This window comes from Homo sapiens, chromosome 1 (assembly GCF_000001405.40).
Source record: "Homo sapiens chromosome 1, GRCh38.p14 Primary Assembly".
Taxonomy (NCBI): Eukaryota; Metazoa; Chordata; class Mammalia; order Primates; family Hominidae; genus Homo; species Homo sapiens.
The window spans coordinates 78059412-78085467 of NC_000001.11; the positions used below are offsets into that span (position 1 = coordinate 78059412).

General features: G+C 39.3%; 1 protein-coding gene across 3 annotated transcripts in view, besides 2 other annotated features; it reads left to right on the forward strand.

The window, feature by feature from the left end:
* GIPC2 (GIPC PDZ domain containing family member 2) overlaps window positions 1-26056 on the forward strand; it is a 93475-nt gene that overhangs the window by 14442 nt on the left and 52977 nt on the right. For all 3 annotated transcript variants that reach the window (NM_001304725.2, XM_047423230.1, NM_017655.6), the window contains exon 2: window positions 21264-21449. In NM_001304725.2, the coding sequence (NP_001291654.1) occupies window positions 21264-21449 (186 nt within the window). The remainder of the gene's footprint in view (window positions 1-21263; window positions 21450-26056) is intronic.
* Window positions 1846-1895: an enhancer, noted in NCBI's record as "active region_1229". NCBI's record gives its function as "activates an Ori minimal core promoter by ATAC-STARR-seq in GM12878 lymphoblastoid cells {active_cell/tissue: GM12878}" and the evidence as "EXISTENCE:reporter gene assay evidence [ECO:0000049][PMID:35858748]".
* Window positions 2006-2085: an enhancer, noted in NCBI's record as "active region_1230". NCBI's record gives its function as "activates an Ori minimal core promoter by ATAC-STARR-seq in GM12878 lymphoblastoid cells {active_cell/tissue: GM12878}" and the evidence as "EXISTENCE:reporter gene assay evidence [ECO:0000049][PMID:35858748]".

Consider the following 26056-nt stretch of genomic DNA (forward strand, 5'->3'; position numbering starts at 1 on the left):
AAATCCTTGAAATGGTAGAGACCCTGGTGTATCTAAAGTCATTTAGGCTGGGTGCAGTGGCACATACATGCCTGTAATCCAAGTACTTTGGGAGGCCAAGGTCAGCGGATCACTTGAGTTCAGGGATTCAAGACCAGCCTGGGCAACATGGTGAAATCCCCTCTCTACAAAAAATACAAAAATGAGTAAGGCATGGTGATGTGTGCCTCTAGTTCCAGCTGTAGTCCCAAGTTGAAGCTTGGATAGGACTCGGGAGGCAGAGGCAAGAGGATTGCTTGAGCCCAGGGAGGTTGAGGCTGCAGTGAGCCATGATCGTGCCACTGCCCTCCAGCCTGGGTAACAAGAGTGAGAAAAAACAAAAAACAATAACAAAAAGAAAAAAAGAAAAAATAAATAAAGTCATTTAGAGATCACTTCTTGTTAGAGACGTGCTAGACAGAGAATTTAAAACTGAAGTGCCAATAGCACTCTGTGAATTAGAGATTAAAAAATGAAGATGTAGTATTTTTGAACTTAATGAGGACTTTTGGAAAATAGAATTCTATGAATATAATTCAGTAAGGCATAGTAGTATAAACTTGACATAAGAATTTTTTTAGAAGCTGAAGCATATTTTCTGCTTTTCTGACATCAAATGTAATGTTTGGAAATTTGGGATGGTGATATCACACAAATTCTTTTATAGTTGTTTCAAAGCTTTATAGGTAAAGGATATAGGTGGGCTGTAATCAATTCGTAAGATCTATTCCTAATCTAACCTGTTTCATCTCTCTTTTTTTTTTTTGAGACCCACAGTGATCATCACTTACTGAAGCCTCAACCTCCTAGGCTCAAGTGATCCTCCCACCTCAGCCTCCCAAGTAACTAGGATTATAGGTGTGCACCACCATGTGTGGCTAGTTTTTGTATTTTTAGTAGAGATGGGGTTTTGCCATGTTGCCTAGGCTGGTCTCAAACTCCTGAGCTCAAGCAATTCTCCTGCCTCAGCCTCCCAAAGTACTGGGATTATAGGTGTGTACCACTGCAGCCGACCGACCCTCTTTCATCTCTTGATTTTATCTCAGTGTTAACTGCAACCTACCTCTCAAGTCCTCCTCTTCCCATTAACCTGTTGGCTCTCAGTTAATGAGGGCATCCATAATGTTTGACCAGAGGCTGCCAAAGGAAAGTGATCTCTTGCTTTTGTGCTGCATTCATTTACTGAAGTTACTAGCAGAAATTACTCTCTATAAAGCTGAAGTCCACTGTGGAGCTACACAGTAAATGATTATTTTAGTTGAAAAAGTAAGGTATATAAATTGAATTTTTACATGGTAAACATCCAAAAGATGTGGGCCACCCAGAACCATCTATTGTAACCACTTTCTTTACTGTCCTTCCAGAAAAATACTCTATAAATGTGTGTGTGTGTATATAGATAGATAGATAGATAGGTAGATAGATAAACATTCATATCTGTGTGGGGGGTATATCCCCCCACTTTATCTTCTTTTTTTTTTTTAACTCAATTAAGAGCATATTGTATTCTGTTCTGTATGGTTGGTAGTGGGAGAAGAACAGGAGTAGCCCTAAGAAAGAAATGCTGAGGCCTGGGAATGGCAGTCACTGTATCCTTGCAGTGTCTCATAGGGCCACCAGGGAGTCCTTGTGCAAGGAGAGCTGCCACTGTGTCTTTAATGGTGATTAGACAAATTTTAATAATTTCTAAGAAGTCTACCTGTTTCCTGAAAGGGTTTCCTGTGCTGCCTTTGTTTCCCTGTGTCTTCTTGGTGTAAACCCCCATCACCTGATATAACCAAACGTGTTCCTTGACACTGCTTATTCAGAGAGAAGTAACTAACAAACACCTTTGGGCTAGTTGCTCACTTAGACAAAGAAAAGAGGAAGCCAATTGAAGGTGGACGGCTCTGTCACTGCTTGTCTGAATTGGGATCCAAGAAACTGGCCTTCATTACTCATCTCAGAAACTCTAGCCCTGCTGTTTGGGGTGTGTGGAGTATTCTGAGGTTTGGGTGATTAAAATGTGGAGTGGGAAGTTGAAGGGACTTAGAGCTTTGTCAGTGGTAGAATGGTTTTTTTTTGTTTGTTTTTTTTTTGTTTTGTTTTTGCGATGGAGTTTCCTTCTGTCGCCCAGGCTGGGGTGCAGTGGTGCGATCTGGGCTCACTGCAACCTCTGCTTCCAGGGTTCAAGTGATTCTCCTGTTTCAGCCTCCTGAGTAGCTGGGACTACAGGCGTGAGCCACCAAGCCCAGCTAATTTATAATGAAGTGTTCTTTACACTAATTTTAAACAGGCCCCAGTTTCAAGTGATTTTCCTGCCTCAGCCTCCTGAGGAGCTGGGATTATAGGCGCACACCACCATGCCCGGCTAATTTTTGTATTTTTAGTAGAGATAGGGTTTTGCCATGTTGGCCAGGCTGGTCTTGAACTCCTGACCTCAGGTTATCTGCCTGCCTCGGCCTCCCAAAGTGCTGAGATTACAGGCATGAGCCACTGTGCCCAGCCTGAATGTTTGCTTTTTAGAAACATATTTGACCCTCTGTAGGTGGTGTGGCTAAGAGGCTTAAGAACTCAAGCATTCAGAATGTGTATTTGCTATGTGTATAAAAATCTCCCTGGAGATAAATCAAAGCACATGGAGAGGGATGACTAAAATCCAGGCTCTACATCTCAGTCTATAAAAGTCACAGGTTCTTAAGTTACAGTGTTAAAGTAGCCTTAAAGGGATACACAGTAACAAAGTTGAGGAAATGATAACTGTGTATCTATTCTTAAAACAGGTTACATATCCATATATTTCATTAATGTAGTAGTGGTTGTATAATTGGCGTTAACACTATGTCCCTCATGATCCAGGGCCAGAACCTTAATTTAACCACCTGAAGCTTCTCACATTTGATACTAGCAGTGTGTTCTGGGTGTGGTTGGGTATTAGGTGCTGGTCATGATTCCTGTTATTTCCTTCCTTCTTCTGTGTTCTCTGTGCTTTCCCCTTCCTTTCTCCATTTTCCTGCCTGTATGTAAAAGTGGGTGGAGGAAGGGAAGCATTTCTTAAGAATTGAGGAGAAGGGAATTACTGTGTTTTTTCTTTTTCTTTTTTTTTTTTTTTAATTTGAGAGGGGGTCTCAGTCTGTCACCCAGACTGGAGTGCAGTGGCACCATCTTGGCCCACTGTAACCTCCACCTCCCAGGCTTAAGTGATCCTGTCACCTCAGCCTCCTAAGTAGCCGGGACCACAGGCGTGCCACAGTGCCCAGCTAATTTTTTTTTTTTTGTATTTTTGGTAGAGATGGGGTTTCATCATGTGGCCCAGGCTGGTCTCGAACTCCTGAGCTCAGGTGGTCCACCCACCCAAAGTGCTGGGATTACATTCATGAGCCATCGTGCCTGGCCAAGGAATTATTGTTGAACACCTATTACCACTTAACCTATGCTATCTTAACGGAAATGGTAATTCTTGCTAGAACCACCAGAAATTATTACAATCTATAGAAGAAGCAACTGGAGCTTAGAGTAAAAGTAAATTACTCAAGTTTCACAGCCCAGAGGGATATCTTTGACTTGAGGTCTATCTGACGTCAAAGTCTGTATTCTTTCCTTTACGTAAGTGATTCTTAACCTTAGCAGACCCAAAGGCTTCCTCTAATAACAAATATTTTGTGATACCGTCTTTACTTTCCTGAAATAGGATTTTAAACAATGTTTTCTACCTATACGCATAATTGATTCCTTAACTCTAATATTAGAAACAAACTTGGATTTTAATATCCAAGTATTTGGAAAAGTTATCTTAAAAGGCATCAAGCAGCTGGGTGCAGTGGCTCATGCCTGTAATCCCAGCACTTTGGGAGGCCGAGACGGGCAGGGGTCAGGAGTTCGCGACCAGCCTGGTCAACATGGTGAAACCCCGTCTCTACAAAAAATACAAAAATTAGCTAGGTGTGGTGGCATGCATCTGTAATCCTAGCTACTCGGGAGGCTGAGGCAGGAGAATTGCTTGAACCTGGGAAATGGAGGTTGCAGTGAGCCTAGATTGTGCCATTACACTCCAGCCTGGGCCACAAGAGCTAAACTCCATCTCAAAAAAACAAACAAAAAAAAAACCAAAACAAAAAACATGAAGCAGTTGCTTGTATCTACTTGTAGTGAATACATTTGGATTTGAAAAGAGTAAGAATAAGATGAGATTCAGGTTGGGTGCAGTGGCTCATGCCTGTAATCCCAGCACTTTGGGAGGCTGAGGCGGGCAGATCACTTGAGGTCAGGGGTTCGAAACCAGCCTGGCCAACATGGTGAAACCCATCTCTACTAAAAATACAAAAATTTGCCGGGTGTGGTGGTGCATGCCTGTATTTCCAGCTACTCAGCTACTCAGGAGGCTGAGACAGGAGAATCGCTTGAACCTGGGAGGTGGAGGTTGCAGTGAGCTGAGATTGTGCCGCTGCACTCCAGCCTGGGTGACAGAGCAAGACTCTGTCTCAAAAAGACAAAAAAAAAAAAAAAAAAAGATGGGATTCAATTGATTGTTTTTGTCTCTTTTTCCTCATATTCAACATTTTAAAATAAGAGATATTAATGTTTGTAAATGCTCATAGAATTGCCATAGTGCAACAACAGGAGCAGACTGATATAAATGTTTTATGTTACAAATCCAAATAACATGGGCAGCATTGCTGTCAATGACTTGATTTTCTGAAACGATAAATAACTCTTGGTAAGGCACTGCATAAAAAAGTACAGTCTTCCCTTGATTTACATGGTAATTGCAGCCCATAGAAATTCAGAATAAAAAATACGCTGTGTGTAACACAGAATTAGGGGCTAGGCTTAAATAGTTGATAGTTTCCCCCCATCCTTCCAGCATGAATGTCTAATAGGACATTTGAGCATCATGTGGAATACAAAGCAGTTCTTCATGAAGCTGGGCTTCTCAAGCATTGCAATTCAAACAGAATCCTTGACCCATGCCCTGCTTCCCTCAAATGCCAGTGGTGCCATACAATCATTTTAACAATCAAAGAGACCCCTTGATATTTCCACCTGTTTCCTTAGAGGCCAGTATTGGCTGTCACCTCCAGCAATACTGTTTTATACTTGGTTGCTAGAGGTTAAGTAATTGTCCTACACTGTGAAGTTAGAAGATGATAAAAAGGGAGGTGCGGGAGTGAGTGGGGATGGGAAACAATAAGAGGGCGAACAAGGAGAAAGACGTCCTGTTGGTTTTGTACTTTTAGTTTTAGGATCCATCTTTTTAAAAATGTTTTTTAGAGAGAGGGTCTTGTTCTGTCACCCAGGTTGGAGTGCAGTGGTACAATCATAACTCATGCAACCTTTTTTTTTTTTTTTTTTTGAGATGGAGTCTCACTTTGTTGCCCAAGCTGGAGTGTGGTGGCACAATCTTGGCTCACTGCAATCTCTGCCTCCCTGGTTAAAGCGATTCTCTTGCCTCAGCCTCCCAAGCAGCTGGGATTACAGGCACATGCCAGTACCCTTGGCTAACTTTTTTGTATTTTTGTAGAGACAGGGTTTTACTATGTTGGCCAGGCTGGTCTCAAACTCCTGACCTCAAGTAATCTGCCTGCCTTGGCCTCCCAAAGTGCTGGGATTATAGGTGTGAGCCACTGTGCCCGGCCCTCACTGAAACTTTGAACTCCTAAACTCATGTGATCTTCTCGCCTCAGCCCCTGAGTAGCTAGGACTATAGACAAAAGCCACCACACCCAGCTAATTTAAAAAATTTTTTGTAGAGGTAGGATCTCATTATGTTGCCCAGGGTTAGTCTTACAGGACTGTAATTAAAAGAGTAGAACATGTGTTTGGCTTGTTAAATTTGTGATATTCTTCCTATGCACTGACAATGGTCAAGCTGAGAACCAAATCAGGAATGCAATTTCATTCACAATTACCACATGAAAAAAAAAATACCCAGGAATACGGCTAACCAGGGAGGTGAAAGATCTCTACAAGGAGAACTATGGAACACTGCCCAAAGAAATCAGAGATATCACTAACAAATGGAAATAGGAAGAATCAATATCATTAAAATGGCCATATTGCCCAAAGCATTTTATAGATTCAGTGCTATCCCTATTAAACTACCAAGGACATTCTTCACAGAATTAAAAAAAAAAAACTGTTTTAAAATTCATATGGAAAGACAAAAGAGCCTGAATAGCCAAGGCAATTCTAAGTGAAAAGAACAAAGTTGGAGACGTCATGTTATCTGAGTTCAAAATATACTATAGGGCTATAGTAACCAAAATAACTTGGTCCTGGTACAACAATAGATATATAGACCAATGGAACAAAAAAGAGAACCCAGAAGTAAGGCTGCATGCCTACAATTATCTGGTCCTTGACATACCTGACAAAAACAATAGGGAAAGGATTCCCTATTCAATAAATGGTGCTGGGATGACTGGCTAGCCATATGCAGAAGATTAAAGCTGGACCTTTTCCTTACACCATATACAAAAATTAAATCAAGATGGATTAAAGACTTTAACAAAATCCAAAATTATAAAAGCCCTGGAAGACAACCTAGGCAGTACCATTCTGGACATAGGAATGGGCAAAGATTTCATGATGAAGACATCAAAAGCAATTGCAAGAAAAAGCAAAAATTGACAAATGGGATCTAATTAAGCTAAAAAGCTTCTGCACAGCAAAGAAAACTATCAGCAGAGTAAACAGACAACCTAGAGAATTGGAGAAAATATTTGCAAACTAGGCATCTGAAAAAGGTCTAATATACAGCATCTATAAGGAAAGTTACAAGAAAAAAAACCCAACTCCATTAAAAAGTGGGCAAAGAACATGAACAGACACTTTTCAAAAGCAGACATACATGTGACCAACAGTCATATTAAAAAAAGCTTAACATCACTGATCATTAGAAAATGCAAGTCAAAACCACAGTGATATACCGTCTCATACAAGTCAGAATAGTTATTATTAAAAAGTCAAAAAATAACAGATGCTGGTAAGATTGCAGAGAAAAAGGAACATTTAAACACTGTTGGTGGGAGTGTAAATTAGTTCAACCATTGTGGAAGACAGGGTGGTGATTCCTCAAAGACCTAAAAGTAGACATACCATTTGACCCAGCAATCCCATTACTGGATATATACCCAAAGGAATATAGATCATTTTACTGTAGAGACCCGTGCACATGTATGTTCATTGCAGCACTATTCACAATAGCAAAGACATGGATTCAACCTAAATGCCTATCAGTAGTAGACTGGAAAAGAAAATGTGGTCCATATACACCATGGAATGCTATGCAGCCATAAAAAGAACAAAATCATGCCCTTTGCAGGAATGTGGATGGAGCTGGAGGTTATTATCCTTAGCAAACTAATGCAGAAACAGAAAACCACATACTGCGTATTAGCACTTATAAGTGGAAGTGAAATGATGAGAATGCATGGACACATAGAAAGAAGCAACAGACACTGGGGCCTAGTGGAGGGTGGAGGATGGGAGGAGGGAGAAGATCAGGGAGAATAACTAGTGGGTACTAGGCTTAATACCTGGGTGATGAAATAATCTGTACAACAAACTCCCATGACACAAGTTTATCTGTACAACCTGCACATGTACCCCGAACTTTAAATGAAAAAAATCATGTAAAATTGAGTAGCGATTTTAGAAAAATTTGTGATGTCTCAATCTTTTGTAATATCTTGAAGTGTCACCTGTTGCTGTGGCTATTTGACAGGTTTATAGAGTCCTATAGCAGGTGCAAAAGTTAGGGTGGAATGATAGGGAAGCATAGGGTTTGAGATCAGATGGGGAGGAGGGTTTCAGGGTAGGGTGGCCTGTCCTGGGTTTGATTCCTGTAGATGACACCTTCTAGCCATTTTCTCACTAATAAAATGTACAATGAATTACCTTATAGGTCTGTTGTGAGAATTAAATGAAATAGCATGTTAGGTGTCCAGAACAATGGTACAATGGTTCAATAAATGTTACTCCTGTTTTCCTCAAAAAAGATGCTGGATGACACTTATTTTTGCAAATTTTTCTTTTCTTTTTCTTTTCTTTCTTTTTTTTGAGATGGAATCTTGCTCTGTTACCCAGGCTGAAGTGTAGTGTCGTGGTCTCAGCTCAATGCAACCTCCGCCTCCCTAGTTCAAGCGATTCTCCCACCTCAGCCCCTGCGACTAGCTGGGATTACAGGTGCCCACGACCATGCCCGGCTAATTTTTGTATTATTAGTAGAGACAGGGTTTCACCATGTTGGCCATGGTGGTCTTGATCTCCTGACCTTGTGATCCATCTGCCTTAGCCTCCCAAAGTGCTGGGATTATAGGCGTGAGCCACTGCACCTCGCCTCAAATTTTTCTTATAATTTTTCTATTCTAGACCAGGTACAGTTTTCATTCTCCCACCCTTTGCCTACATCCAGAAAATAAGAACAAATTTAATGTCTATCTCTGTAGATGGTCCTCAGTCTAAACTACCTGTTTGGATTCTGTTATAGTAACTAACCCGGACTCTCTGTGGATGGTCCTTAGTCTAAACTACCTGCATGGATTATTTTATAGTAACTAGCCCGGACTCTTCTGATGAGGGCTCTTTCAATCAAATTTAGTATAAACCTAATAAGCAATTTCAGTCAACTAAGTTGAACATTTCAGTTAAACTTGGGCAATAATACAATTTATTCAGAATTGTTTTGTATTGCATTTGTCAATGCTTATTCTTCTAAGCCAAAAAAAAAACCTTTTAGTAATACATGTAGTTCTTCATGTCGTATTTCTAGGCATAGAGAGTACCTGTGACAGAATTTGTTTCAGCATATAATTCTGTTATTCTACTTCTTTCCCCCACTGAACATTTAGAGTTAATATCCAACTCTCCCCATACTCATTAAGTCTCCTAGAATCTTGGTCATTATGCTCAAGTTGTGGGGACTTGTATTTTCTCCCAAGAAGCCCAGGATTGGGGCATGTGGGGAAGATTACTTCAATACCAAGGGATAGAAGAACTCTACCACTGCCTTTCCTCAACATCCAAATCACATGACTTTCCTTTTATCCCATGCTGTCTTAGTCTCAGCATCTTGAAGTGGGAGCATTCTTATTTGATCAGCTTAATATAAACAGGTTAGTGTAAAATTGATATTTCAAACCAACCCAGATGCTTCAGAGAGTGAAAGAGATAGTATCTATAATTACTCTGGAACAACAGGGATAAACTGGGACCTAGAGTTATCCCAGTTATAACCAAACTGCTTGCTAGAAAAGGAGAAAGAAGAAAAATATGATGTGAGAAAGTTTATCATATAATTATTAATTGCCAACAATATATAAGCCATTTTCCTGGGGAATAAGGAAGGTTTTGCATTATAGGCATTTTTTGGAAGGCTAGGGAGAGGGAGTATGTGTGCTCATAAAAATAGAAGCAGGTAGCAAGGGCTCAGTGTCAGCACCCAGACTGGAGCCAGGAGACTGGTACTCCTCATCCTGGCTCTGGCTTGGTGACACATTCCTGGGAGTTGAGGATGGAGTCCTGTGGTAGCCTGTCAGCTTCTTCAGCTCCTGCCCCTGCTTGGTCTTCTCCCTCTCTTTTCTAAGTGCTCTGCCTCCCCTAGCACCGGGAGTCTTGCAGGCAGGAATGGCGGTAATGTTGGCAAGCAGAGAGTTGGAAGAAACTGCTTGGTGAGAGTAGGGAACAGGTTGCTGATAATCAACAACTCCGAGCAAAGGTCAGTCAGCCAGGGCAGTGCCTGGGTATCTCCAAGTCTGTGACAGAATTCTGTTCTTGGCTGCTCTTCACCCTTTCCCATTCTCAGTTTCCTGGGCTTATTCTATCCCTGGGGCAGGAGATGGTTCAAAATTGAAAAGCCTGAACCTAGAAGAATCCTCACATACACTCCAGATTGAGGGCTAACCTCACTTGTGGATTCAGTCCTGTCAGGCCCACCCATAGGTGAATTTTCTTATGCTCTCAAACTTCCTGATGAAACATATAAGTGTGTGAGGTGGTCAGTGAATTTGCCTTCACCCTTTTCTCCCAGATCATTTGGCTCCCTCATCTAGGGAACCCTGTAGTACTTTTTTTTTTTTTTTTTTTTGAGACAGAGTCTCTATCTCCCAGGCTGGAGTGCAGTGGTACAATCTTGGCTTACTGCAACCTCTGCCTCCCAGGTTCAAGTGATTCTCATACCTCAGCCTCCTGAGTAGCTGGGATTACAGGCACCTGCCACCACACCTGGCTAATTTTTGTATTTTTAGTAGACACGGGCTTTCACCACGTTGGCCAGGCTGGTCTTGAACTCCTGACCTCAGGTCATCTGCCTGCCTCAGCCTCCCAAAATGCTGGGATTACAGGCATGAGCCACCGCACCTGACCCCTGTAGTACATTTTTATGATGACTTTTAGGTGTTTTAGTTTAGAAGAAACATCTTTCTCTCTCAAGATGTTTGATATTTTCTCAGGTGGCCCATATTTTCCCCATAGAGTGCTCATCTCTTTCTGTCAGAATTCCTGTTGTAGGGTGTAGTAAGGAATAGACTGTCTTCCCCCATCACTCCCTCTGACACCTGAATGGCTCACCATGCTTACTTTCCAATTTTCCATGATTCATTTGGGTGGTTTTTAAATATCACACTCTCTTCAGACATTTCATTGTAGGGGTTAGAATTCAGCCTCGTGGGCCAAAAGGAACACAGTGCTCTACGAACTTCTGCCAAACAAATTTTAAAGTTTTGTTTAAGGATCCTTTTGAGGTCTAATGGCAATCTTTTACAAGTTATATTTGTATATTTGGTAATTTGGAACGTTTAATCCACAAATCTCTTTACTAATAATTATAATGTATAATTATGATGTTTTATAAACCATCCTATTCCAGCATATAAAATGTCCCCTGTTATAGTCTCTCTTTGCCTGTTTAGAATCTCTTCCATCTTTAATGTTAAACAAGAGGAGGCTTTTAAGAAGATAAGTGGTTCAGAAAGCATGGAAAATTTAACAGCACCTGACGGGGGAAATAGCAGTGATTTATGATGTCTTTCAAATTGGCATGCAATGTTGCAGCATTATTAGACTAGGATAAGCTCAGGTATCTCCTCTGAGTGTAAAAAGATTGTGGGAGAGGATGATATATATATATATATATGGCTATATGCATTTGATTTATTTTATTCGTTGGTTTAGTATTTGTGTAATGTCCACAAAGGCAAGACTTACACCTATTCCAATTCTTTATCCTTTTCTTATGTCTCAAGGATTGCTTTGGGATTTTGATTTTCTTGGATACACAGTTCCCTTTATTATATTTCATTAGTAAAGAAAGTGTTCTTTTGGTTATGCTGGGAAGTCATTTGGTAGATTCAAAATATGAATCTGACTGTTTTTCTTTTTTTGGATAGAATTCTTATTTGTCATATTATTTTACTCATTAGTAATACTGAAAAAAGTAGTTCTACTGGAGAAGAGCACAAAGAGTGATGATTCACCTTTTATTTAAGGCTTGCCACTGCTGACCCAGGGCAGCTAATTTAGAAGTGAATCATTTATAGAAAGTTCTACACAGTTCAGGACAGAGCTTTATACAATATACTCATGAAGGTCTAAATAGAGCATACGGTATCAGGTTTCTAAATATCTGTCTTGTCGCCAATTTTATGTCTTTTCCAGCCTGTGAAACTTGTTTCTAGATGACTGTAGCTATTGACAAGATGAAGTCAAAGGCACTGTATATATATAATGATGCATATTTTAAAACTAATCCTAGAAATTTAGTACATGCATTATACTGGGAAAATAATAGGCTGAGATTTTAAATTACTGTGTTTATAATACAAAGAAACAAATGTAACTAGTCATTTTTAAAACTAGTTGGAATAAATTTTAAAATCATTTATAATAATTTAAATTAAATAATGTTATTGCTATTTTGATATTTATGTTTGGCTTTTAAAGTCTAATTATAAATAGTTATATTATGCAAACTGTCTTACTCCTTTTAGAAAGTGAGGGGTTTATTAAATGAACACAATATATTTGGTTCCATACAGAGTATAAAACTGTATAGTCTCTTCTAGAAGGTTTTTTTTTTTGCTCCTCCTCCTCTTCTTCCTCTTCCTCTCCTTCTTTCTCCTCCTCCTCCTTCCTTCTCCTTCTTCTTCTTCTTTTTTCTTCTTCTTCTTTCTTCTTCTTTTGTTTCTTCTTCTTCTTTTTTTTTTTCTTTAAGAAAAGAAGAGGTCCCACTGAGTTGCCCAGGCTGTCTCGAACTCCTGAGCGCAAGTGATCCTCCTACCTTGGCTGGGACTATAGGTGTGTGCTGTCACGCCTGTCTTCTAAAAGTTTTAAATTCAAAGCTGTGTTTATATTTACATCACAGCTACAGTATCATGGGTTAGAAAAAGCCCGAATTCTAGTTCTGACTTTGTCATTCGCTAGCTGTGTGACCCTACACAAATCACTTAACATGTCTGAGCTGGTTTTCTTTTCTGCACAGGGCATATTGATACTTGTCTTCAAGACCTGACTCACAAGGATTTAGTTCAGCTAACGCATTAGGAAGTGACCAGTAACTTAGATGTCCCCACACAGATAATAGTTGTCAGAGAGGCATTGCCGGGAAAACACCCTGGAGTTGGACAACCAGGGTTGGAGTTCCAACTGCACCAATTACTATATATGTGACCCTACACAAGCCATTTTCTCCTCTAAACCTTTGTTTTCTAATCTATAAAAAAATGGTATTATGATACATCTCACATAAAATTGTTGTTGATAATTAAATGAGGTAACATATGAAAGTAGCTGGTACATTAATCAGTGTTTCTTGGACCTTAATGTTGATTTTGAAAAAAGTCCTTGCTGACCTTCCTCTCCCCAGCTCATTTACTTTCACGATACAGCATTTCACTGGAAGTGGGAGCCAGTATCCAAACTGTGTACAAATAAGAGAGATGAGCAGTTTCCCAGTCTATGCATATAATTGAAGACTAGTTTGAGTTCTAGAAGTTCCTTGATATGACACATTTACCAAATATTTTGGGGGCAATTATGTAGCATAAGACACTCAGCTTTTTGGAAGAGTTTTGAGCAATGTGATTCTGTCCCTGTGGCTTAGGTAGAGCTGATCCTTTCTTTTCAAGCACTTAGGGTACATGACTATTTTTTTTTCTCCCCCATAATTATTTTATTCTTAGTTTCAGGTTGTTTTTAATTCCTATAACTTTAAGGACAGTAATTTAGATGGAGGTCAAATAATTATTATTTTTTCTCTTTGAAGAAAAGTCTTTGAGACTTAGATAATAAGAACAACCCAGATAAAACCTTAGTCACTAACAAAGGAACCATAATCCAGGTGGTTTTCTTATGTATAAATATGTGGTACTAACTCCTGAGGAAAGTATGGTTTCTTTTCTCTCTTATTATTATTTTTGAGACAGAGCCTTGCTCTGTCGCCCAGGCTGGAATGCAGTGGCATGATCTTGGCTCACTGCAAGCTCTGCCTCCCGGGTTCATGTCATTCTCCTGTCTCAGCCTCCCGAGTAGCTGGGACTACAGGCGCCCACCACCACGCCCAGCTAATTTTTTTTTTTGCATTTTTAGTAGAGACGGGGTTTCACTGTATTAGCCAGGATGGTCTCGATCTCCTGACCTTGTGATCCGCCTGCCTCGGCCTCCCAAAGTGTTAGGATCACAGGCATGAGCCACCATGCCCGGCCTTTTTTTTTTTTTGAGACAGAGTATCACTCTGTTGCCCAGGCTGGAGTACAGTGGCCCGATCTCAGCTCACTGCAACCTCTACCTCCTGGGTTCAAGCAGTTCTCCTGCTTCAGCCTCCTGAGTAGCTGGGACTACAGGTGCACGCCACCACACCTGCCTAATTTTTAAATTTTTAGTAGAGACGGGGTTTCACCATGTTGGCCAGGCTGGTCTCGAACTCCTGACCTCAAATGATCCACCCATGTCAGACTCCCAAAGTGCTGGGATTTCAGGTGTGAGCCATTGCACCCAGACTTTCTCTTTATTTTCTATAATGACATTGGCTGATATTTCTATAATGTTTATTTGAGATACAGTATAAAAAAGTAAGCAAAATTTTGGGGGTAGATTGAGATGTAGGAGGGTAGTCATATAAAAATAATAATACTGCTTATGTTTAAAATCACATATACAAATAATGTAACTCTAGCTGCATAAGCCCATAATTTGTTCCAGAGATCTTTGGAACATGTAGAATCTTTGGCCAGCTCAGTTCCTGTTTAAGGAAGGCATTCAACAAAAGAAAGTTGGAAGTGGACTTCCTGGCGTTTTAAACATGAATTTGATGTGTTTTGGGAGAGATTTGTTAACCTGTTTGTGGACCAGAATATCTTTTGAAACACTAATGACAAATAATTTATTTAATGCTATTCACAAAGCACATTGTGGAGTATATAATGGTGCCACCAGAGAAAAAGCAATATTAATTGATATTAATGGCTCTGTGCGATAGTTCAAACTTTTATCTTCCTAGCCATATTGAGTTTCAATGATGAATAATCATAACCATGTGGTAAGAATTTGAAAATACTGAGGAAAGTAGCAATTTAATATAAATGCACAGCAAGAAAACTGTCTGCAAGTTATTCTTCAACAACAACAAAAGTTGAAGGATAGTTTTTTTATGAGGAGAAATGCAATCTATCCTGGTTATGATATTAAAAAGGAGCAAAATCTGATACTTCAGGAAAGTTCATGCACTTTAAGAAGCTTTCAAGCATAAGTATAAATATCATTGTTCATGAAGCCCTGTATTCCAGTAATAATAATAAAAACCTTTAAATTGAGCCTTTTTATTTATTTACTTATTTTTTAGAGATAGGATCTTGCTTTGTCACTCAGGCTAGAGTGTAGTAGCACATAGCACATAGCTCACTGCAGTCTTGAACTCTTGGGTTCAAGCAATATTCCTGCCTCAGTCCTAAGTAGTTGAGACTACAGGCATGTGTCAGATAATTATTTTTTTATTTTATTTTAAGAGGTGTAGTCTCGCTGAGGCGACTAGGCTGGTCTTGAACTCCTGACCTTAAGCGATCCTCCCACTTCAGCCTCCTGAGAGCTTTTTAGTTTAAAAAGTATATTTATACACTTACTGAATTTTTGTAATGACCATTTGATGTAGACCGAACTTTAATAATGCCACAATTTACGTGAGGATCAAGGAGGCCAAATGACTCAACTAAACCCCCTGAGACTGAAGGGTACATAATTGAAACTAGATCCAGAACTCTTAACTCTTAATCCATTATTTTCATCTCTTACGTTTCTTTTTCTCTTCTTTCTATTTAACACATTACAAGAATGAGACTATTCCAGTCTATCGATTTATTTATTTTACTGATATTGGAAGTAAGGAGGAGAGATTGTCTGAAATTTTTGTTAGGGGTGATAGAATATGAAATTAGGATGCCATAATACCTCAGCGTATTAAAAGAAACACAATTCACCATGTACTTTAGATATTTTTTAAAGGATAAAATGAGATGGTAGGCAGAAAGAACTTTTAAACTATGAAGAATTATAAAGATACAAGGCATAATGATTCTATCAGTTAGGAACCTTTTAGTTGAAAGTAACAGAAAATCCAACCCAGGATGGCTTGGTGAAATTTATTGACTCACGTAACTAAACATTCTGGGATAGGACTGTGTATCAGACAGCGTGTTTTCAGCTGCAAGTAACAGAAAACTACTTACTCAAACTGGCTAAACCAAGATAACTTAACTTATTATTTTACATAAAAGAGAGCTGTGTGTGGTGGCTTGTGCCTGTAATCCCAGCGCTTTTGGAGGCCAAGCAGGAGGATCGCTTAGGCCCACAAGTTTGAGACTAGCCTGGGCAACATGGTGAGACCATGTCTCTATGAAAAATAAAAAAATTAGCTGTGTTTGGTAGTATGTGCCTGTGGTCCCAGCTACTAGGGAGGCTGAGGCAGGAGGATCACTTGAGCCTGGGGGGTTGAGGCTGCAGTAAACCATGATCACACTACTGTGTTCCAACCTTGATGACAGAGTGAGACCCTGTCTCAAAATAAATAAGAGGTAGAGTGGGCTCCAAATTGGTTAACTGAGCAACTCACCGATGTCACCAAGGACTTAGGTTTATTTCTTCTTTTTGCTTTGCCATTCTTGGCATTGGTGTCTTTCTCAGCTGGCAGGAAGATGGTGGTAGAAATTCCTAGACCACACACAGATAAGGCAAAATACAGAGGAAGAAAGGGACTGTCTCTTTCTGTGTTTCTTTATTAGGCGTGAAAAAATATTTTCCAGAGCTTCCTGGACATCTTCCTCCTATATCTTATAAGCTGGCATTGGGCCACATGCTTACACCTAAACCATCACTTAGGCTAGTTCACTTTTATGCCTGGAATAGGGGGATGTGAGTCATTTTCCTCCAAAGTGCTTGCAATCTGTACACATCTGGGAATTGTGTTAGGAGGGGAAAAGAGTGGACAATCTCCAGTGCCCACCCCTGACTGTCTCGAAGTAAGACTGGAGCCAGAGGCTCTGCTTTCCTCATGTCAGCGTTGTTGCCAGGCCCACTCTTCTAATGTTTGCAGTGATAACTGCAGTCATTTTAGACCTCATATAATTTAGAAGAAGTGAGGGACACAGAACCACCGTTTGGTAGCTTCTATGGAAAAGAGAAGAGGATTCTTTCCCCAAACCCCCAATAAGTTCATTCTTGGATTTTCTTGGCCTAAATTGGTAGTCATTAAGCAATTTAAACCTGAGGATGTGGTCACTCCCACCCAAGCTACCATATGGCTTAAAATGGGGAAGAGAAGTTTCCAAAGGAAAATTAGGGGGAAAGGGAATAGATACTGAAGATGTTGATGTCTAGCACAATAATAACAATTCAAGGCCCTCCATCTTCTGGCCCCAAAGGGCAATAGCTTTCTCCTTCAATTAGTCTGTCTTCCATATAGATGAGGCAGAGTGATAAGCATGCAGTCCCCAATCTTTATGGCACCAGGGACTGGTTTCATGGAAGACAGTTTTTCCATGTATTGGGACAAGTGGGATGGTCTCTGGATGAAACTGTTCCACCTCAGATCATCAGGCATTAGATTATCATAAGGTGCAGGCAATCTAGATCCCTCGCATGTGCAGCTCACCTTAGGGTTCATGCTCCTATGAGAGTGTAATGCCGCTGCTGATCTGACAGAAGGCTGAACTCAGTCAGTAATGCTTGCCTGCCTGCTACTCACCTCCTGCTGTGTGGCCTGGTTCCTAACAGGCCAAGGGCTGGTACCAGTCTGCAGCCTAGGGGTTGGGGACCCCTGCAATAAGACAAATAAGTCTAGTAAGATAAAATCCCTACCTACTAAAAGGTTTTATTTTAATTTTATTTTTTTTGAGATAGAGTCTCGCTCTGTCACCCAGGCTGAGGTGCAGTGGTGCAATCTCGGCTCACTGTAACCTCTGCCTCCTGGGTTCAAGCGATTCTCCTGCCTCAGCCTCCTGAGTAGCTGGGATTACAGGCACCTGCCACCATGCCTGGCTATTTTTTTTTTTTATTTTTAGAGATGGGTTTTCACCATGTTGGCCAGGCTAGTCTCGAACTCCTGACCTTAGGTGATCTGCCTGCCTCAGCCTCCCAAAGTAATCCCAAAGCCTGGGATTACAGGTGTGAGTCACTGCGCCCAGCCTAAAGACATGAGATTCTAAAGCTGAACTGCCCAATGTTGTAACCACTAGCCGAATTTGGATACTGAGAACTTTAAATGTAGCTGGTTCTTCCAAATTGAGACAAGATGTAAGGGTAAATACATGCTGGATCTTAAAAACTTAATTTAAAAAATGAAAACCATCTTAATAATTTTTACATTGATTATAGGCTGAAATGACAATATTTTGGATATACTGGGTTATATAGTTTTAAATTAAATTAATTCAGCTATTTCTTCTTACTTTTGTTACTGTGACTATTAGAAAATTTAAAATTATTTAGCTTACATTGTATTTCTATTGGGCAGTGATGCTCTAGAAAATGAAATAGTCATGGGTACTCCATCAGTTATGGAAATAGGCAATGATGGCAGTAAAGCAACAAATACAGATTACCCCAGAAGGTGTTAAGGATTTCATTGTACAATGAAAAACATCATTAAGATTATATCTACTGAATCAGTCATTTTCCTTACGTTGTGTGATACCTTGTTACGAGTTTACTTTCCAAATCTTTTTTGATTTAGTTTAGTTTGTCCGTCAGAGAGTGTTATATTTTAAAAAAAAGTTAAATGCTGCCTTTCACTGCCTGTTGTGTAGCGTACTTAGATTCTGGAAGCAAATATTTCTTAGAGGAGCATTGATAATATGGCCACTTCACTGTTAGTTTTATTGTTTTCATATGAGTATGAGTGAGGGTATGAAAGCTCACAGTAGCTTCTTAAGGTTCCTTCTGACTTAAATGTTCATTATCTTTTGATGAGTGAATGAGCAGGAACTTTGCATTCTTTAGAAACTAGTGTATCACGGCCGGGCGCGGTGGCTCACGCCTGTAATCCCAGCACTTTGGGAGGCCGAGGCGGGCGGATCACGAGGTCAGGAGATCGAGACCATCCCGGCTAAAACGGTGAAACCCCGTCTCTACTAAAAATACAAAAAATTAGCCGGGCGTAGTGGCGGGCGCCTGTAGTCCCAGCTACTTGGGAGGCTGAGGCAGGAGAATGGCGTGAACCCGGGAGGCGGAGCTTGCAGTGAGCCGAGATCCCGCCACTGCACTCCAGCCTGGGCGACAGAGCGAGACTCCATCTCAAAAAAAAAAAAAAAAAAAAAAACCTAGTGTATCACTTTCTTATTTTGCAGTTCAAAATATAAAATCTTTGAGGATGCTTGAATTTCTAGACCTTTATCATATACTTAGAGGTATATTTGCTGATAGTTGTGCATTGATACTGTGATAGCTTCTTATTCTCCCGTGAAGAACTGATCTGAAGTCATGGAGCTTTAGTTACCTGCTGCTCTTATTCCACCTTGCAGTGGCTATCACATTCCTACAGGTTTTCAACACAGCTTCCCATGAAGTTCCATTCACTGAAAGATATAGCTGGCTCCATTCCTTACAGAAAAAAGAAACTAATGCCCTGCTTGCCAACTTTTGGCTGTCTAGAATGGAATGTTATTCTGCACGGGAGGAAGCACGATGGAAAAGGGTTCTTCTACCTGCAGGAAATCTAATGTTTGCTTTGTAGTGAAGCATGCGAAAAGTTGAAAGAAAGGAAGCAAAGGAAGAGGCTTGGTCATTAGAAGTTCAGTTTGTGTGAGATTTCCTTTTTTTCCTTTTTGTTTTTCTCTATCCTGTTATACCATCATGGTATTTTAATTTTTTTTTTCCTAGCTAATGGGTAAATTGCTTTTATATTGGTGTTTGGGACCCACTGTGAATACCATGGACAGATTCACCGGAAAAAAAAAAAAAAAAAACAACAAACCAAGGAGGAGAAAAATGTTGTTTCTTCTACTTACTTCCCATCATTTTGTGAAGGAGAGTCAGAAAAGCTGTTTTCTACACATACTCCCTTCTCCCTCAACCCATTCACAGTGATTTTTGTCAGCAAACTAATATGCCATTGATTTTACAGTTAGGATCAGAAATATGCACCATTCTTGACTTAACCGATTTTTTTCCCCCTGAGAACAATATCATTTTTACACTAGAGAATATGTGCAAAAACTTATTATCTACAAAGCTGAATGTATTTTGCCCTTGCCGGGAACATAAAGGGTTAAATTGAAGGCTCAACAAAGACTGGGATGAAAAGAGGACAAGTTGGGGGGCCATAGTTGTTTCCTGTAGGCATTCACTGTTTTGTAGCCAGTGGCATTTTTTTTTGTCCTCATCACTAGCTCCTTTAACACACCTCTGGGATTTGCTCTGAGCTTGGCTGAACACTCTTGACCTTTGATTGTATAGCAGGGACAGCTTTATTTTATGAAGCTCTTCTGATTCAGACACATTTTGACATGGCCTAAAAAGCCATTCAGTAAGTAGTAAATGCACCCTATTTCTGAGTGGGATGCAGGTTATGGATGTGTTAAGGCTCAATCAAGGTTCTGTTAGGAATTAGGACTGGTGTGAAACTCCAGGATACTGGGAGAGGGTTGAGAGTGAGGCCTGAGGTAAGGATCCGGGATGGAGGAAGAGGCTTGCAATGCCTGTGGTGGACATTATCTGATAAATTTCATTTAGTGATTTCGGCATGAAACAGCCATATTAAAATGCCCTTTCTGGCTTATTAAATAGAAGCTACTCAGTACATGTTTGTTGAACTTAGCTTCTTAACCGATGATACCTTTTCAACCCTGCTTCTCTTCTTCTATAATTTGGGCCCCACAAGTTACCCAGATTATGGTTGACAAACTTGAGTAGCACTGCACATTTTAGTCAAGTGAGTCATATTTTTGAAGGAAAATGAGGTCAAATAAAGACTTGGTAAACATAAAAAGCCCCTTTGAAATCTCCACACAACTTTTCACCATTTGGTTTCTTTTTTGCTCTCTTTTTACTGTCACATGAATTGGTACAAGTTGTTTTAAAATCTCCAGACCCCAATTCCATGGCCCCCCTCCCCCCTTTTTAAATTGGGTTAATAGTCTTTAAAGTCCATTTTAGTTCTAAAACATACTGATTTTAACACCTCATTCACTAAATAAATTGCTTTTTTTCAGGCACTATAATGCAAGATAAATAAAATTGTCTATATTTAAAAATGTATTTACCAACTTTCAAATATAGGCTTGCCTATATTTTAATTGTAGTGTATGCATGATGCAGACCTTTGGGACTATAACCTTTGATTTCAGCATTATAAAATGTCAGGTCCCTTGGCAGAAACCACTTTAAAATGGGTGAGACCTGAACTCAAATCCTTGGCTCTGACAAGTACTGGCTGTGTGACCTTAGGCAAATTACTTATTTTTACCAGGCTTCAGTTTCCTCATTTGTAATATGGTGATACCAATGTCCTTTATAAAGTTACTGTAAAGATGAAGTGAGATAATGGGATGTAAATTGTCTAGCGTGAAGCCTGGCCTACAGGAAACCCTCAATACATGTTACCTAATGCTACTGTCTGAAAATGTGTCCCAGAATCTCTCTAGCCAACATAAAAACACATTTTATGATGTAACTCTTTACATCATAAATTGAGGAGTATTTCAGTCAATAAATGTTTATAAATAAATTAACGGTCAGATGTATTCCAAGTGGAAATGGACCTGACATTTTATTTTTCTTTGCAGATCTTATATTGCACTTTAAACACACCTAAAATTGACATGGAAAGACTCTTAGGAGGACAACTAGGACTAGAAGATTTCATATTTGCCCATGTGAAAGGAATCGAAAAAGAAGTGAATGTGTATAAATCTGAGGATTCACTTGGTCTCACCATTACAGATAATGGTGTTGGCTATGCTTTTATAAAGGTAAGTTTTAAAAAATAACAGTGTAACCTAATTGAGGATAACATTTAAGAAAATCTACCAGGCCAAAGAAAGTTAGAAATGATCTTCAGAGTGAGAGCCCGCTCAGCAAGGATGCATGAATTGGTAATGTTTCACTTTCATTTTAAAAATGTTCAGATGTCAGTTTGTGTTTACTATTTTCTTAATTTCTTCCCTTTAGTTTAAACTTCCCCTAGAATTTAGAACTAACTGAAAGGAAAGTCTAACCCTGGTGCCTACTCATTATCCATATAAGCTTTTCCATGTCTGTAGGTTTTAACATCTGATGAATTTCTGGCTTATTTCCATTGAATTAGTGTTATTTTCCAACTGTTCCTAGTTTTGACTGCCTTATTTACTTCTTTAAAAATGCCCTTCAAAATTTTAGGAAGTATATAAAGTTGGATCTCTGTATCTGTAGGTTCTGTATTAGTGGATTCAACCAACCACAGATTAAAGGTAGTTGAAAAAATGGCATCTGTACTGAACATGTATGGCCTTTTTACTTGTCATTATTTCCTAAACAATACAGTACAACTGCTTATGTAGCATTGCCATTGTGTTAGGTATTATAATCTAGAGATGATTTAAAGTATATAGAAGGATGTGGATAGGTTATATGCAAATACTACACCATTTTATACCAGGGACTTGAACATCAGTGGAATTTTAGTATTGATGGTGTGTCCTGGAACCAATCCCCCATGGATACCCAGGGCCAACTGTAATTCCTTTATTCAAATACAAAGAGAGCGATATAGAGCTTCAAAGGCAAGATAAAAGTTTGAAATGGTGTGAAACTAAGAACTGAGGAGAAAGGTAGTCTCATCTCTTAAAAATAACAACTCTATTATTGTAATAGTTATAATAGTAACAGACTTATATTGAATGCATGTACTAGGCACTTTGCATACAATTTCTCACTTAATTCTCACAATTCTATTTGGTTGGTATTATGTTTTTTCTTTGTATTTATTTTTTTGTTGCAGTATAAGACATTTTTAATGTACAGCTTAATGAATGTTTACATACTTATCCCTGTTTAACCATCACCCAGATCAGGATAAATTGCATTTCTGCCACTCAGAAGGCTCATTTGTGCCCCTTCCCAGTCAATAATCTTTCCCCGCAAAGTAGCCATTATTCTGGCATCTATTGCCATGAACTTCATATAATCATATATTATATACTCCACTATTTTCGGCTTCTTTTGCTCAAAAAGATGCCTATGAGATCCATGGATAGGTACTATTTCCAACCTTATTTTACAGATGTGGAAACAGGCTCAGGAAGGTTAAGTAGCTTGCCCAAAGTTATACAGCTGGACACATTCAGGATTTGGATCTATGAGGTCTGACTTCAGAGCTGGCACTTCTATTCACTCGATTAAGAATTAATGATAGATTTCATGCAACAGGGAATATTTTGTGCCTTTATTTTGTCCAAATCTTGATTTGCTGATGCATTGTCACCATTAAATAATCTTAGGGAAGTTATCTTCTTAACTGTAAATGGGACTTTCGCTACCCACTTGATAGAATGGCTATTTTTAGCTCTGCAAAAGATATGACTGTGCTGAAGGTTGAGTGAGTGACCAAATGGAAAATCTGTGACTGGGAAAGTCATATGGGATTATCCAAGGGAAGCTCAGGACATGAGGCACAGGCAGCAGAGAAGGGCTTGGAAGTTTCACAAACGTGTGTGGATTTTTAAAATCTTAGCCTCTGACATTCAGAGCTTGTCTTTCTATTTTTTAAAAAATGCTTTGTCAAACATGTGCCTGACTCAGAGTACTAGTCACTAGCCCTGTGGAGATATAGGGCATGTTAGCAAAGGAGAAAGCAAGGCATAATCTAAACTGCCAACATATAGTTCAACTTAGAAGAGAGATGCACATTATACTGTATACATGGTTGATGAAATTTTTTAAAAATTGGGAGAGGATAATTTCAAACTTACATAAAGATTGCAATAATAATACAAAGAACTCCCATAAATCATTTATCCAAATCTCCAATTTTTACCATTTGCCATGTTTGAGTTTTTTGTTCTGTCTCATACACACACATATATATATATATACTCTTTACCCCTTAGTACTTCAGAGTGTAATTACTAAGAACAAGGATATTCTCTTACATATAACTACAGTACAATTATGAAATTCATACAGTCTAATATTGATATAATACTTTTAAACTAATCTATAGTTCACATTGTAGTCTTATCAGCGTCCTAATTGTGTTCATTATTTTCCCCTCATACAGGTCCAATTTAGGATCCTGTATTTCATTTATGTCTTTTTAGTCTTCTTTATAATCTAGAATAGTTGTCATGTCTTTTTAGTCTTCCTTAATCTAGAATAGTTCCTCAGCCTTTTATAGGATGTCCCTGAATTTGGGTTTTTCTGATGTTTCCTCATGTTGATAAATAGATTGTGCATTTTTGGTAGGAAAATTACATAAGTGATGCTGTGTCCTTCTCAGTGCACCACATCAGAAGGTACATGAAACTGGTTTGTCTCATTGTTTGTGAGATTAACTTTTGTCACTTGTCTGAGGTAGTGTCCACTAGTCTTTTTCACTACAAAATTATTTTCCTTTGTGATACGTAATTGTGGAGAGATGCTTTGATATCATGAAAATACCCTGTTTTCTTACTTGCATGGCACAAATTTAGTATCTGTTGATGAGTCTTACCTGAATTAATTTTTCCTATAATGGTTGAAAAAATGATGATTTTTCTAATTCCATCACTCCTTATATGTTTCTCTGAAAGCATTTTATGGTAGGGAAAAAGCTGCCCTTATTTATTGTCAACATGGGTACATGACTTCGTGTTTTACTGAATGGTTTATAGTCTGTTACTATCAATTATATTGATGCTCAAATTTCCTGAGACTTGGCCTGCAGGAACCCCTGTAAGTGGGCCCCCATGTCCTTTTGACATGGCTCCTATCATTTTATTGAGTAGGTTCTTACTTTCTAGAACACAACAAGATATTCTAGACCCATCTTGTATCTCCTTTTCCCCTGACCTAGAATCAACTATTTCTCTCAGAAGCTCTGATTTTTACTAGAGATTGATAGTCAAGTTCTGGTGTTAGCTGTGCTCATACACTGAAGTCAAGTTCTGGTGTTAGCTGTGCTCATACACTGAAGTCAAGTTCTGGTGTTAGCTGTGCTCATACACTGAAGTCAAGATTGATAGTCAAGTTCTGGTGTTAGCTGTGCTCATACATTGAAGTCAAGTTCTGGTGTTAGCTGTGCTCATACATTGCTATTGGAGTGCATTATTTCTAGATCCTTTCAGTGGTAGAATTAGAGAACATGTTTATTAGAAGTTATGAATTGGGCCAGGCATGGTGGCTCACACCTGTTATCCCAGCACTTTGGGAGGCTGAGGTAGGTGGATAACTTGAGGCCAGGAGTTCGAGACCAACCTGGCCAACATGGTGAAACTCCATCTCTACTAAAAATGCAAAAATTAGCTGGGTGTGGTGCACACCTGTAATTCCAGCTACTTGGGAGGCCAAGACAGGAGAATCACTTGAGCCTGGGAGGTGGAGGTTGCAATGAGCCGAGATCATGTCACTGCACTCCAGCCTGGGCGACAGAGGGAGACTCTGTCTCAAAAAAAAAAAAAAAAAATTACGAACTCGTAACGATGCTTCTAATTGTCATCCTGCCCCACAGGGTTATTTCTTGGCTTCCCCATCAAAATTTTTACTTTCAAAGTCATTAAAATATTTACTCATTGTAGAGATCTTTCACCTTCCTGGTTAGCTGTATTCCTAGGTATTTTATTCTTTTTGTGACAATTGTGAATGAGATTGTCTTTCTGATTTGGTGCTTGGTTTGGCTGTTGGTGTATAGGAATGTTAGTTAGGGATTTTTGTACATTGATTTTGTATCTTGAAACTTTGCTGAAGTTGTTTATCAGCTGAAGGAGCTTTTGGGTCAAGACTATTGGGTTTTCCAGATACAGAATCATGTCATCTGCAAACAGAGATAGTTTGACTTCCTCTTTCCCTATTTGGATGCCCTTTATTGCTTTTTTCTGCCTGATTGCTCTGGCTAGGACTTCCAATACTATGTTAAGTAGGAGTGGTGAGAGAGAGCATATTTGTCTTGTGCTGGTTTTCAAGGGGAATGCTTCTGGCTTTTTTCCATTCAGTATAATGTTGGCTGTGGGTTTGTCATAGATTGGTCTTATTATTTTGATGTATGTATACCTAGTTTGATGAGAGTTTTTAACATGAAGGGTGTTGAATTTTATCAAAAGCCTTTTCTGCATCTATTGAGATAATCATGTTGTTTTTGTCTTTAGTTCTGTTTATGTGATGAAGCACATTTATTGATATGCTTATGTTGAACCAATCTTGCATCCTGGGGATGAAGCCTACTTGCTCATGCTGGATTAGGTTTTTGATGTGCTGCTGGATTTGATTTGCAAGTATTTTGTTGAGGATTTTTGCATCAGTGTTCAGCAAGGATATTGGCCTGAAGTTTTCTTTTTTGGTTGTGTCTCTGCCAGGTTTTGGTATCAGGATGATGTGGCCTCATAGAATGAATTGGGGAGGAGTCCCT